This window comes from Homo sapiens, chromosome 7 (assembly GCF_000001405.40).
Source record: "Homo sapiens chromosome 7, GRCh38.p14 Primary Assembly".
Taxonomy (NCBI): Eukaryota; Metazoa; Chordata; class Mammalia; order Primates; family Hominidae; genus Homo; species Homo sapiens.
Genome location: NC_000007.14, coordinates 103187779 through 103202745, shown reverse-complemented (window position 1 = coordinate 103202745; position 14967 = coordinate 103187779). Strand labels below are relative to the sequence as shown.

The window sequence follows — 14967 nt, the reverse complement described above, 5'->3', positions numbered from 1 at the left end:
TAATGTTGATTTCTGTGTAGTCTGTGATTTGAGTTTTGATCATTTAATCCAAAATCACTTAGAAGAATGTCTTAAAATGTCTAACTAGTTTTAGGCCGGGTGCGGTGGCTCATGCCTATAATCCCAGCACTTTGGGAGGCCAAGGCGGGCGGATCACGAGGTCAGGAGATCGAGACCATCCTGGCCAACATGGTGAAACCCCGTCTCCACTAAAAATACACAAATTAGCTGGGTGTGGTGGCACGCACCTGTAATCCCAGCCACTTGGGAGGCTGAGGCAGGAGAATCGCTGGAACCCAGGAGTCGGAGGTTGCAGTGAGCCAAGATTGCCACTGCACTCCAGCCTGGCAACAGTGCGAGGCTCCGTCTCAATAATAATAATAATAATAATAATAATAATAATAATAATTTTTTAAAATGTCTAACTAGTTTCTTCTGTTGTATATTTTGCCTTTAAAATTAACTTGCTATTTATTGAGATGGATGTTCAGTTTTAGTAAATGCTCTGTGAGGATTTTTTAAATGTTCATTTCTTATTTAGGGGAAGTTCAAAGTTACATGTTATATCATGTTATTAATAGTGCTATTCTAAATGGTCTAGTACATCAAGTTATTTTTCTATTTTATCTGTTTTCTTAGAATGCTGTCTTCACATACAACATGAAAAATGAATTTTTCAAAATTGTCTTGTAATTTTAATAGTGTTTGCTTTATATAGATAGTGCTGTTGTTCATTGCATGATTATTATAGGATTGTACTTTTATTATAAAGGATATTCTTTGCTTTACTTAGTGGTTTTTTGCTGTAAATTTTTCTTTGTATAAAATTAATATTGCCACATCTGCTTTCTTTTTTTATAGATTTTCCTGGTTTACCTGTATTTATGCTTTTTTTTAAACATTTTTGTGACATTTTGGTTTAGGTATATTTCTCATTGTTAGATTTTTTCTATTCAAATTCCTCTAATACTCGTTTTCTAATTGGTGAATTTAACCCATTTTCATATTAACTGTGATAACTGCTGTGTTTGTACTTCTCCCTGCCATCTGATTTTATGTTTTCTATTCATCGTGCTTTTCAAAAATTATTTTCTTGATACTTGCTGAATTGTTAGCTATATCCCATTTCTATATTTCCTGGTGGTTTCTCTTAAATTATTAGCAAATATATTCATCTTGATATTAAGAATTCATCAGCATCTAAAACCTGTTACCACCAATGATAGTAGCTAACAGTTATTATTTCCTGTGTGTCTGACAGTATTTTAAGCTTCTTACCAGTATTAACTCAATAAATCCTCACAGTCACCTTGTGAGAAGGGAGTCAGTTATTCCCATTATTTACAGATGAGGAAACCAGTAAGAAGGTAAGTAATTTTCTGAAAGGCACACAGCTAGTGAGTAGTGGAGGCAGAACTCATACTCAGGCTCTGTACCTAGAGACCTGCTTGCTTCAGCACTGAGCTGTTGGAATATTTCTACTTGTCCTTGCCTAGACACCCTCTCCTTCCAGGTTATGCTGAAATTTACTTTCTAGATTGTTGTCTTATCTGTTATGTTCTAAGAAGTCTCTAAACATTTACATTAAAGACACCAGCAGTCTTTGGACTTGACTTCAAATTTTACTGATTTATTTTTCCTTGACATGTAGAATTGGCATGCTTTCTGGGTGCTTTCTTACCTGAAAAATGGCTTTATTTTGCCCTCATATTTGATTGATAGATTGGTTAATAGATATTTGTGGGTTTCATTCAACATTTTTTTGACATTGCTTCTTTGCGTTCTAGCATTAAGGATTACAGACGAAAATTCCTATATAGTTTTTCTCTCTGGAAATACATAAGGTTTGGAGGGGTGATGTGTGTGTGTTGTTGTTCTCTTATTCTTTCACTTTAGCCTCTCTTTTTTGAATTTCTATTATTGCTTTTATCATATTATCTATTTCTTTTCTTTCTGTGTTCTCAGAGAATATCATCACTGAGTCTTTAATACTGTCAACTTCAGCTGTGTACATTTTGCTCTTCAGCTTTCTTTTGAGGCTTTAAATTAGGCAAATATATTTTTCTTAGAATTTCTGAAAACTCCTTTTCACTGGAGCTTATTTTAATTATATGGGTGCATTATCCTTTTAAACTTCTGTGAAAACAATAATTGGAGTTTTCATTTGCATTAGCTGTTTCATGAGAGGTCAAGTTTTTTGCTTATTTATTTTGATGTTTCCTTTTCATGATATTTGTGTCTTGGGATTTGGTTGTATATTCACATTTTTAGTTAGCTACTTGATTTAAATAAAGTATCAGTAGTTACTTTCAGGGTTCTTGGTGATTATAATAATTACTCACCTACCAGGCTTCTTCCTTGCACGCAGCTCACTACAGGAATCTGTTGTGCCTAGATTGCGGGACAAGTGGGGAAACCCCACTCCGTTAACTGCATACACAGGGAAGGAGCTACGAGGGAGATAGAATAATTTGGTCTCTACTATTACCTTAAGAGACCTTCCCCCGTCTTCGATTTAAAAAAAAAACTACTGCATACAAAGGGTAGGAGCTACAAGGGACATAGAATAATTTGGACTCCACTACTACCTTAAGAGACCTTCCCCTGACTTCTCTTTTAAAAAACCTATGGGTCTCTGAACCCCTGAACTTACTTTCCACACCTATTTGTCTCTTCACCCCCAAAATCCATATTAGAATGCCCCTGCAGGCTATAAAGCCTTTCATAAAAGTAAAATACCCAGTCTTTTCAAGAGAACAATAAAATAGGCAGTCTCCTACCTCTTGTCTTACTCTAATATAAACTCCATGAAGATAAGTATTGTCTCCATACTGTTCATGCTGCACAGCAGTTGCCCTTATCTGCAGGGCGACACATCCCAAGACCCCCAGTGGATGCTTGAAACTGCAGAGAGTAACACACGTGATTGCCACCATCGGAACACATTTCTGTTCACGTCTTCCACCCACAGATTTAATGCCTTTTCCGTCTTAACTAAGCACTCATCATGGACTGTGGCCATAACTTTTGCAGTTTTAGATGCAACAGCAAAACTAACGTTAATTTTTTCTTCTTCTTCACAATTTCATGGGTAGATTTGTTCTTACCGTAGATCTTAGCAACCTCAGCATATGATGTTTTTCTTTTGAGAACTTTCACCTTTTCTCTTAAAGAAAGCACTTTACAGCTTCTCTTTGGCATATCTCAACTGCCAGCATCACTCCTCTTGAACTTTGGGGCCATTATTAAGTCAGAAAAGGGTTACTTGAAAACAAGCACTGAGATACCACCAGAGTCCATCTGATAACTAAGATGGTAACTACATGACTAACAGGCTGGTGACGTATACAGCATGGATATGCTGGACAAAGGGGTGAGTCATGTCCCAGGTAGGATGAAGCAGGGTGACTTGAGATTTCACTGTTTAGTATGGTGCACAATTTAAAACTTAGGAATTGTTTATTTCCTGGAACTTTTCGTTTAATATTTTTGGACTGCAGTTGACTACAGGTAACTGAAACTGTGGAAAGTGAGGATCGGAGGATAAGCAGGGACTGTGGTATTCATTTCATTGCACAGTGCCTAGAATACAGTAGGTGTACTATAAATATTTTGTAAAGAGACAACTTTTCTGAAACTAAAAATATTTATGTTTTACCCAATAATTTTTCTTCTGGAAATTTATGCTAAGGAAATATTCAGAGATGCTTACAAAGTTTTATGCATGAGTGTCCGTGTTATTTGTAATTGTGAAAAATGAAAATAACTCAAAAGTTTCAGTGGTCATCTAAAGTATTGTATACACTGTATATATAGGTTGAATAGAAGGTCATCCTATTCATTTATTAATGAGAGGTACAATCTCCAGGGATCTGTAAAATCTATTTTGTCTTAACCAAAGAACAAATTTTTGACATATCTTGAATAGGATGACTATAAATTATGACTTTTAAATTGTCGTAATTTTTGTACTATTATGTGATATTTTTATTTTTATGTATGTTCCTAAGTAGTTTAGAGATAGTCACATTTTAAAAATCCAAGATCAAACAAATGAATCTTATTTTTATGTATTCATAGTATAGAAGACCTTCAGTAAATAGATAATATTTTTGTTTTATTCTAGAAAACAGCTCCTTGAACACAGTGAGGTAAAGCTTTCATTTTAATCTCTGGTAGACTTGTGTATTAAATTCTAGTTTGAGGGTAATTGACAAAGGTATAACCTTGCTGCTGATGCACCATCAGTAGTGAGTTGTTCAGCATTGGTGATAAATTTCTGCTGATCCTTCTCACTCTTTCATCTGCTCTTACTTTTGAATAGTAATAAGGATTTAAAAGCTAGAAGGCTGATTTATGACTATACTACAGAATTAAATTAAATTGCATTCATTTAACAATAACAAGCATTTGGTTTCTAGCCTGCTGAGCTAATCAGCTACAGTCCATTGGGGCAGGCACCCTTGGCCCTGTGACTGGTGGCCATCTGCCACCACGTAGATTTGCTGGTCAGTCAGTGACAAGCTCAGAAGTGTTGAAGGATACAAAAGATACTAAAGTCATGTTCCTGCCCTTCGGTATGTGTAATTTTACAAAGGAGACAAATAAGACAACATTTTATGTCGTGTAAAATTATTTTGTGGCATAAAAAGGAAAAGATCAGTGTGGGCTGGAAATATTTCCTATTTGATAGAACTTTAAGTGGGTCTTGAGGTAAAGGTCAAATTTACAGGAGTGGGTAACTGAATTTGAACTTAATAGAGATAGTTTATGACACATGTTGAGTATCCCTTATCCAAAATGCTTAGGACTAGAGGCGTTTCAGATTTCAGATTTTATTGAATTTTGGAATATTTACAATGTAGTTACTAGTTGAGCATCCCTAACCTGAAAATCCAAAATCCAAAATGCTTCAATGAGCATTTGTTTTAGCATAACCTTTGAACATCATATTGGTACTCAAAAGTTTCAGATTTTGGAGCATTGTAGATTTCAGATTTTTGGATCAGGGATTCATTAGTAACTTTGTCACTTTACAGTGAGGCCCACTGTGTTGGTCCTCCGCCTCCTCAAACCACCTCCTCCTCTCCCTGCCTCCTCTGCCTGCTCCATTTTCTTGCCAACTGCACTTATTGCCTTACAGTAGACTATGTAATGGATTCATTTATTTGCTATTTCTATGTATTGTCTGTCTTTCATTACTAAATGTAGTTAAATGTAATACAAGGACAGAAATTGCTCACTGCTGTATCTGAAGCACCCTGAAGAGTACCTGGAACATAGTAGACATTTGATAAATTATTGTTGAATGAATACTGATAGGCTTATTACTAAGTTAGAAGATCCTTGTCTTAATGAATAATATAGTTTTAATGTACTTCATTAATTTAAAAATATGAAAAGTAAGAATGTGATTTTGTCTTATTTGTGTTTTTATAGCTGGCTTTTCACACATTGCAGTTGTTAGCATTTACTGCCCTTGCCATTTTAATTTTGAGGCTAAAGCTGTTTTTGACACAGCACATGTGTGTTATGGCTTCCTTGATATGCTCTTGACGGGTAAGGGATTCATTCTTGTATAACAATACTATAAAAACTATAGCAGCTATACTTAGTAGTTACCGTGGCTTTGCTGACTAATTCAAAATATAAACACACTAAGTGTTTTTAACTTAACTAAGTTAAATGATTTAAAATATTACTTCGTGATTCACTATAAGCAAGAAAAGCAATTTCAAGTGGCTTTGAAAAGTATTTCTGGATTTTAATTGATATTTCTATAACAAGTGATTAGGCAAACATTTCCCCTCTGTTAATATCCTGTCCATGAACATAACCTTTTAGAGTTCAGGTTTGTGTAAGAGTGCCTGGCACAGTGGCTCACACCTGTAATCCCAGCACTTTGGGAGGCCGAGATGGGCAGATCACTTGAGGCCAGGAGTTCGAGACCAGCCCGGCCAACATGGTGAAACTCCATCTCTACTAAAAATACAAAAATTAGCCGGGTGTGGTGGCGAGTGCCTGTAATTCCAGCTACTTGGGAGGCTGAGGCAGGAGAATCGCTTGAACCTGGGAGGCAGAGGCTGCAGTCAGCCAAGATCGCACCACAGCACTCTAACCTGGGTGACAGAGTGAGACTGTCTCAAAAAAAGAAAAAGAAAAAAAAAGAGTTTCCTGGTGGCCAGGCACAGTGGCTCCCACCTGAAATCCCAGCACTTTGGAAGGCCGAGGTGGGCAGATCACTTGAGGTCAGGAGTTCAAGATCAGCCTGGCCAACATGGTGAAACCCTGTCTCTATTAAAATACAAAAATTAGCCGGGCATGGTGGTGTGTGCCTGTAATCCCAGCTACTCAGGAGGCTGAGGCAGGAATATTGCTTGAACCTGGGAAGTGGAGGTTGAAGTGAGCTGAGGTCGCACCACTGCATTACAGCCTGGGAGACAGAGTGAGACTCTGCCTCAAAAAAAAAAAAAAAAAAAAAAAAAAAAGAGTTTCCTGGTTCACCAAAAGTACCCTGAAATACTCATCCAATACCAGAGTAGATGCAGAGTAATTGCTCTAATATGGTTCTGTTTGGCTCGAACAATCTATAAGAAATTCTGGGGTTCTATCACTGTTATCTAACATACAAAAGAACTAGATAAATTGCTAGAATATTGGGCCTAAGGTACTTCTACAAACACCTTACTTAGTTTTTATTATGAGTGTATAGCCTTAAAATATCATAATGCCTGTTTTCCTGAGAAGAATCTATATATATCATGCTAATAGGGCTTCCCTGTCTACTAACCATGTCCACAAAAGGCAGCCAAGGATGAAAGGATTTAGTTCTAAGATGTTTCACAGTTGTGATTTGTTTATTTTAATCCTTAGTAGTAAATTAGTACTAGAAGGATCAGGTATATCTTCCTTAATTCTTCCCAGGGGAGAGAAAGTTCTGTTTTCACCTGGGCCCTGTAATGCCAATATATTTGTTGCTTTAGAAACAATCGGAGATGATAATTCTGTATACATGTGTGCTGATATCAAAGGGTAATTCACATTGGTTTGAGTAACAAGGTGAGAATTTATTGTTGACCCTACAGTACTCTTCATATAAGAACTAGAAATAAATTGTTTCTTTTGTTTCAGCTCTTTGGCTGGCTTTTTCGCAGAGTTCGCAGAGAGAATGTTATCTTTGGCATTCTAACAGTGATGTCAATACAAGGTTATGCAAACCTCTGTAATCAATGGAGCATAACAGGAGAATTTAATGATTTGCCTCAGGAAGAACTTTTACAGTGGATCAAATACAATACCGTACCAGGTGTGTAGGTATTTGGTTATATGCTAGTTTTATACAAACATACTCACAGACACATTTGTGTATACTATATATAATTATTGTCATTTCTGATATATGTGTGTATGTATGTATGACAGATTTACAAATAGGCATTCATACTCTCACAGACTTTGAGCAGACTATTGCAATGTCAATCAATTAAACCCTTCCAAAAGGCAATTTTGTACTCCTTTTAAGCCCCTCCCAGATAATTATCAAAGAATTTAAATTAGCACCAGGAAATTAATGATTTTTCACAAGTTATGTCCTTTAACCCTCAGACAGCATTATAGCATTTTAACCATAACAATGACAAATCAAAGAAGTAAATCTTTAAAAATGAAATTTCACACCTTGTGCCAGGCTACAGCAGAAGATACTTTTGATGGTGGGGAGTTAGCTGGCACCGCTTCTGTCACTGCAATCAGTGCTGTCTCCTCTAATTCTGTAAAACAGGGCATTGGCAGAAGAGTTAAAATCTTGGATATTCTATTTTCTTCACTAAATCATCTCACAGAGATAGTATACATCCTACTTTTAAATACTCTAAAATTTTCTTTTTAGCTTACCCTCTTTTCTTCCTGTCTTTATTCAGAACTACCTCAAGCAGATAGATATTTTTAAATACTTTTCCAGAGAATAAGTCTATAACATTTTCTGTAACTAAATTTGTAAATCAAAGATTATTTTTGATATTTGGAAACTTACTCTGGCACAAGTTCTTCACTATGATTTATTTAAATTTTCTTATGACTCCTGAGCTTGTTTCATTTCTTATTTGATAGCCACTTTTTTTCTAATTAACCTTAATTAAGGTAAATCTTTATAAGCTTTAAGTAAGATATTTGGTCTATAGCTTTCAAAGGGTGTAGGTGACAGTGCCTCATTAAACTGCCAAGCCAGTTTAATTAGAATTTTAAAAGTAATCCCCAACTGACTTTTTCCACGTAGGAGCTCAAGGTAATCACTCCCTTTCTTTACTCTCCCTTGCCCCTCCCCAGTTATAGCCATTTTTCCCAAGCTATTAAAAATAGCTGCCCTTTTAATCTTTTCTTGTGTCTTTCTTTGTTCTGGTGTTTGTATTGGGTTCCTGACAGAGAGCCTACATTTGGCAACTTATCCTTCTAAGATAACTGCCACAAACCCCTGTCTCACTTTTAGATGCCTCTTCTTTGATCTTCTTTTCAATCTGTCTTATTCTCCTTTTTTAAATTTTATTTATTTTTTTATTATTATACTTTAAGTTTTAGGATACATGTGCACATTGTGCAGGTTAGTTATTCTCCTTTTAATTACTCTTATTATGAGTTATCTCATGGTTACCACATATTAAAAGCTGTATGAAGTTTTGTAGTATTAGTGGAACTAGTGCTTATATTGAGGTCTGCCATATACAGTTGTATAGTTTGTGCACTGCACAAAGGTGACCAATTGAGAGGATAAGTGAAAGCTTAAATCCAGCTTGTGGTCCACTCATCAAGCCATGTATAATGGGGCTCTGTCAAGTCAGGGGAATACCTTTTTCTAATCTGTGTAGTAGGCTAAATGGAGACTTCCATACAGTGACAGGAAAATATCTGATTTTTCCTTGTTATGCTCATTTACTTCACAGCCAAAAAGACAGAAGGTGGAGTGGGAGGGTATTTCTTCCTCTCCGTCTGCCATAGGTGACAACTCAGTGGGTCCAGCTCTTGCTGGACAGGTGTGCCTAGTTTTTTTTTGGAAGACCCTGGCCCTGGGCTTTCAATTCTTCTTGCTCAGCATTTCCCAACCTTAGCACAGTTGGCATTGAGGCTGTCCTATGTATTACAAGAAATCCTTGGCCTCTATCTACAAGATGCCAACAGCATCTCCTCCCTCCTCCCCATAGCATGACGTCGAAAAATGTCTCCAGAAGTTGACACTGCTCCCTAGGGAGCAAAATCATGCCTGCCTGAGAACCACTTCTCTAGCTTAACAGTTTGTGATCATTAATTATTGAGTCTCCATTAATAAATACACATTCTTTGACTAGCTTACATATTTTCAAATTTGAGGCATATAAAGAAATTTTCATTCAAAGTTGCATTTAGAATGCTTAGTTATACTGGAAAGTAAACACTCAGGGTTCTTAAAGTTTTTAATTTATGTGGGTACAGAGCAGGTGTATATATTTATGGGGTAGATGGGATATTTTGATACAGGCATACAATGTGTAATAATCACATCAGGGTAAATGGAGTATCCATCACCTGAAGCATTGATCCTTTGTGTTACAAACAATCCAGTTATACTCTCTCAGTTATTTTTAAATGTACAGTAAAATTTTGTTGACTATAGTCACCCTTCTGTGTTACCAAACACTGCATCTTATCCATTCTATTTTGTTTGTGCACATTAACCATCCTCACTTCCCCTCCACCCCCTCACTATCCTTCCCAGCCTCTGGTAACCATCATTGTATTCTTGATCTCCATGAGTTCAACTCTTTTAATTTTTAGCTCCCACAAATAAGAACCTGCAAAGTTTGTCTTTCTGTACCTGGCTTATTTCAATTAATGTAATGACCTCCAGTTCCATCCATGTTATGGATAGGATCTCATTCTTTTTTTATGAAAGGATCTCATTCGTTTTTATGGCTGAATAGCACTGCGTTGTGTCTATGTACCACATTTTCTTTATCCATTCACCTGTTGATGGACACTTAGGTTGCTTCCAAATCTAGGCTATTGTGAGAAGTGCTGCAATAAACATGGGAGTGCACATACCTCTTCTAAATATTTATTTCCTTTCTTTGGGGTATATATCTAAGAGTAGGATTGCTGGATCATGTGGTAACTCTATTTTTAGTTTTTTGAGGAACCTCCAAACTCTTTTACATAGTGGTTGTACTAATTTACATTTTCACCAAAAGTGTATGAGAGTTCCCTTTTCTCCACATCTTTTCCTGTCTTTTGGATAACAGCCATTTGTTATTGCCTGCCTTTTGAGTAATAGCCATTTTAACTGGAGTGAGATGCTATTTCACTGTAGTTTTGATTTGCATTTCTCTGATGATCAGTGATGTTGAGCACCTTTTCATGTACCTGTTTGCCACTTGTATGTTTTCTTTCGAGAAATGGCTATTCAGATCTTTTGCCCATTTTTAAAGTAGATTTTTAGATTTTCTTTTCCTACAGAGTTGTTTGAGCTCCTTATATATTCTGGTTATTAATTCCTTGTCAGATTGGTAGTTTGCAAATATTTTCGCTTATTCTTTGGGTTGTTTCTTCACTTTGCTGATTGTTTCCTTTGCTTTGCAGAAGCTTTTACACTTGATGTCATCCCATTTGTTCATTTTTGCTTTGGTTGCCTGTGCTTCCCAGGTATTTACTCAAGAAATCTTTGTCCAAACCAAAGTCCTGGAGAGTTTCCCCAAAGTTTTCTTGTAGTAATTTCAGAGTTTGAGGTCTTAGATTTAAGGCTTTAATCCATTTGGATTTGAGTTTTGTATATGGCAAGAGATAGGGGTGTAGATTCATTCTTCTGCATATGGATATTCAGTTTTCCCAGCACCATTTTTTGAAGAGATTGCCCTTTCCCCAGTGTATGTTTTTGGGACTGCTGTAAAAAATGAGTTTACTGTAGATGTATGGATTTCTTTCTGGGTTCTCCATTCTGTTCCACTGGTCTGTGTGTCTGTTTTTATGGCAGTACCATGATGTTTTGGTTACTATACTTCTGTAGTATAATTTGAAGTCAGGTATTGTGATTCCTTCAGTTATGTTCTTCTTGCTCAGGGTAGCTTTGGCTATTCTAGGTCTTTTGTGTTTTCGAATACATAAGGATCATTTTTTCTATTTCTGTGAGGAATATCATTAGTAGTTTGATGGGGATTGCATTGAATCTGTAGATTGCTTTGAATAGTATGGACATTTTAACAATATTGATTCTTCCAATGCTTGAACATGGAATAGCTTTCCATTTTTTGTATCTTCTTCAATTTCTTTCTCCAGTTTTGTATAGCTTTCATTCTAGAGATCTTTCATTTCTTTGGTTAATTTCTAGGTATTTAATTTTATATGTGGCTACTGTAAATGGAATTACTTTTTAAATTTTCTTTCTCAGGTTATTCTCTGTTGGCATATAGAAACATTAATGATTTTTGTATGATTTTGTATCCTACAACATTACTGAATTTATCAGTTCTAATAGTTTTTTTTTTTTTGTGGAGACTTTAGGTTTTTCTAAATATAAGATCATATCATCTGTGAACAATGATAATTTGGCCTCTTCCTTTCAAATTTGGATGCCCTTTATTTCTTTCTCTTGTCTGATTGCTCTAGTTAGGATTTCCAGTACTATGTTGAATAATGTGGTAAAAAGTGAGCATCCTTGTCATGTCCCAGATCTTAGAAGAAAGGCTTTCAGTGTTTCCTCACTCAGTATGATACTATGATACTACTTGTGCATTTGCTGTATATAGCTTCTTTATGTTGATTAATGTTCCTTCTATACCCAGTTTATTTGAAGGTTTTTATCATGAAGGTATGTTGAATTTTACCAAATGATTTTCCTGCATCTATGGAGATGAGATGATCATATGATTTTTCCTCTTGTGTTGATATGACATTGATTTGCTATGTTGAACCATCTTTGCGTCCCTGAGATAAATCCTATTTGGTCATGATGAATAATCTTTTTAATGTGTTATTGAATTCAGTTTGCTAGTATTTTGTTGAGGATTTTTACATTAACATTAATCAGAGATTTTAGCCCGTAGTTTTTTTTGATGGGTCTTTGTATGGTTTTGGTATTAAAGTGATATTGGTCTCATACAATGGGTTTGGAAGTATTCCTTCCTCCTCTATTTCCTGGAATCGTTAGAGTAGGATTGATATTAGTTCTTCTTTAAATGTTTGATAAAATTCAGCAGTGAAGCCATCAGGTCCTGGGCTTTTCTTTGCTGAGAGACTTTTCATTAGAGATTTGATCTCATTACCTGTGATTGTTCTGTTCAGGTTTTGGATTTCTATATAGTTCAATCTTGGTAGGTTTTATGTATCTAGGGATTTATCCATTTCTAGGTTTTCCAATTTATCGGCATACAGTTGCTCATGGTAGTCTCTGATGATCCTTTAATTTCTGCAATATTGGTTATAATGTCTCCTTTTATTATCTCTGATTTTATTTATTTGGGCCTTCTGTCTTTTTTTCTTAGTCTGGCTAAAGGTTTGTTAATTTTATCTTTTCAGAAAACCAGTTGATCTTTTATACTGTTTTCTTCATTGCAATTTCATTTATTTCTGCTCTGATCTTTATTATTTCATTTCTCTTACTAACTTTGGGTTTTGTTTGCCCTTTTCTAGTTTTTTAAGATGCATCATTGAGTTGTTAATTTGAGGTTTTTCTTCTTTTTTGATGTGGGCACTTACAGCTACAGACTTCCCTCTTAATACTGCTTTCGCTGTATCCCATAGGTTTTGATGTGTTGTGTTTTCATTATCATTTGTTTCAAGAACATTTTCAATTTCCTTCTTAATTTCTTTATTAACCCACCGGTCATTCAGGAGCATATTCTTGAATTTCTATGTTTGTAGAGTTTCCAAAATTCCTTTTGCTACTGATTTCTAGTTTTTTTTCCATTGTGGTCAGAGAAGATACATTATGTTGTTTCAATTTTTAAAAAATGTTTTAAGGCTTGTTTTGTGGCCTATCCTTGTTTTGTGGTCTATCCTTGAGGAATGAGCCATGTGCTGAGGAGAAGGATGTGTATTCTGTAGATGTTGGATGAAATGTTCTGTAAGTATCTGTTAGGTCCTTTTGATCTATAGTGCAGATTAAGTTCAGTGTTTCTTTGTTGATTTTCTGTCTAGATGACCTGTCCACTGCTGAAGGTGTGGTGTTGAAGTCTCAGGCTATTATTGTATTGGGATCTGTCTCTCTCTTTTGCTCTGATAATATTTGCTTTATGTATCCGGGTGCTCCAGTATTGGGTGTATATATATTTACAATTGTTATATACTCTTGCTGAATGAACCCCTTTATCATTATATAATGACCTTCTTTGTCTCTTTTTATAGTTTTTGTCTTGTAATCTATTGTGTCTGATACAAGTATGGCTATTCCTGCTCTTTTATGGTTTCCATCGGCATGGAATATAATTTTCCATCCCTTTGTTTTCAGTCTATATTTGCCTTTATAAGTAAAGTGTGTTTCTTGTAGGTAACAGATTCTTAGTGTTTTGTTTTATTATTCAGCTACTCTTTGTCTTTTGATTGGAGAGTTCAGCCCATTTACCTTCAGAGTTATTATTGTTAAGGACTTGCCCCTGCCATTTCGTTATTTGTTTTCTCATTGTTTTGTGGTCTTCTCTTCCTTCCTCTTTTTCTTTCATTGAAGGCGATTTTCTCTGGTGGTGTGTTTTAATTTATTGCTTTTTATTTTTTGTACATCAATTGTATGGTTTTAAACCTGAGGTTGCCATGAGGCTTGCAAATAATATCTTATAACCCATTATTTTAAACTGATGACAACACTGATTGCATAAACAAATGAGCCAAAAGAAAGCTAGTAAAAATTCTAAACTTTAACTTCATCTCCCGACTTTTTACCTTTTTCTTGTTTCTATTTATATCTTATTGTACTGTCTCTTGAAAAGTTGTTGTAGTTATTTTTTATTGGTTCATCTTTTTGTCTTTCTACTTATCATATAAGTAGTTTATATACCATAATGACACTGCTATAATATTGTGTTTCTCTGTGTACTCACTATTACCAGTGAGTTTTGTACCTTCCGATTATTTCTTCCTCATTAAGGTCCTTTTCTTTCAGATTGAAGAACTCCCTTTAGCATTTCTTATAGGATAGGTCTGGTGTGAATGAAATTTCACAGCTTTTGTTTCACTGGGAAGTCTTCTCCTTTAGGTTTGAAGCACATTTTCTCTGGATACACTACTCTCAGGTAAAAGGTTTTTTCCTTCACTTTAAATATGTCATGGCATGCTTTCCTGGCCTGTAAGGTTTCCACTGAAAAGTCTGCTGCCAGATCTATTAGATCTCCATTGTATGTTATTTGTTTCTTTTCTCTTGCTGCCTTTAGGATCCTTTCTTTATCCTTGATCTTTGGGAGTTTGATATTAAATGACTTGAGTTAGTCTTTGGGTTAAATCTGCTTGATGTTCTATAACCTTCTTGTGCTTGAATATTGATATTTTCTCTAACTTTGAGAAGTTCTGTTGTACTTTTGAATAAACTTCCTACTGCTGTCTCTACCTCCTCTTTAAGGCCAATAACTCTTAGATTTTTCCCTTTAAAGGCTACTTCTAGATCTTGAAAGTATGCTTCATTCTTTTTTATTCTTTTTTCACCTCCTCTGTGTATTTTCAAGCAGCCTGTCTTTAATTTAAGCTCACTAATTCTTTCTTCTGCTTGATCAGTTCTGCTATTAAGAGACTGATACATTCTTCAGCATGTCAGTTGCATTTTTCAGCTCCAGAATTTCTGCTTTTTAATTATTTTGATTTATTTGTTAACTTTATCTGATAAGATTACTAATTCCTTCTCTGTGTTACCTCGAATTTCGTTGACTTTCCTCAGCACAGCTATTTTGAATTCTCTGTCTGAAAGGCCACATATCTCTGTCTCTCCAGGATTGGCCCCCTAGTGCCTTATTTAGTTTGTTT

The 14967-nt window shown here is 35.5% G+C and overlaps 1 pseudogene across 2 annotated transcripts in view; it reads left to right on the top strand.

The window, feature by feature from the left end:
- DPY19L2P2 (DPY19L2 pseudogene 2) overlaps positions 1–14967 on the top strand; it is a 105454-nt pseudogene that overhangs the window by 77721 nt on the left and 12766 nt on the right. The window contains exons 18-20 of one of the 2 annotated variants that reach the window (NR_027768.1): positions 4127–4151; positions 5440–5559; positions 7132–7306. The exons of the other annotated variant lie outside the window; for it this stretch is intronic. The product of NR_027768.1 is annotated as a DPY19L2 pseudogene 2, transcript variant 1 (transcript). The remainder of the gene's footprint in view (positions 1–4126; positions 4152–5439; positions 5560–7131; positions 7307–14967) is intronic. 2 annotated transcript variants of the gene reach the window in all.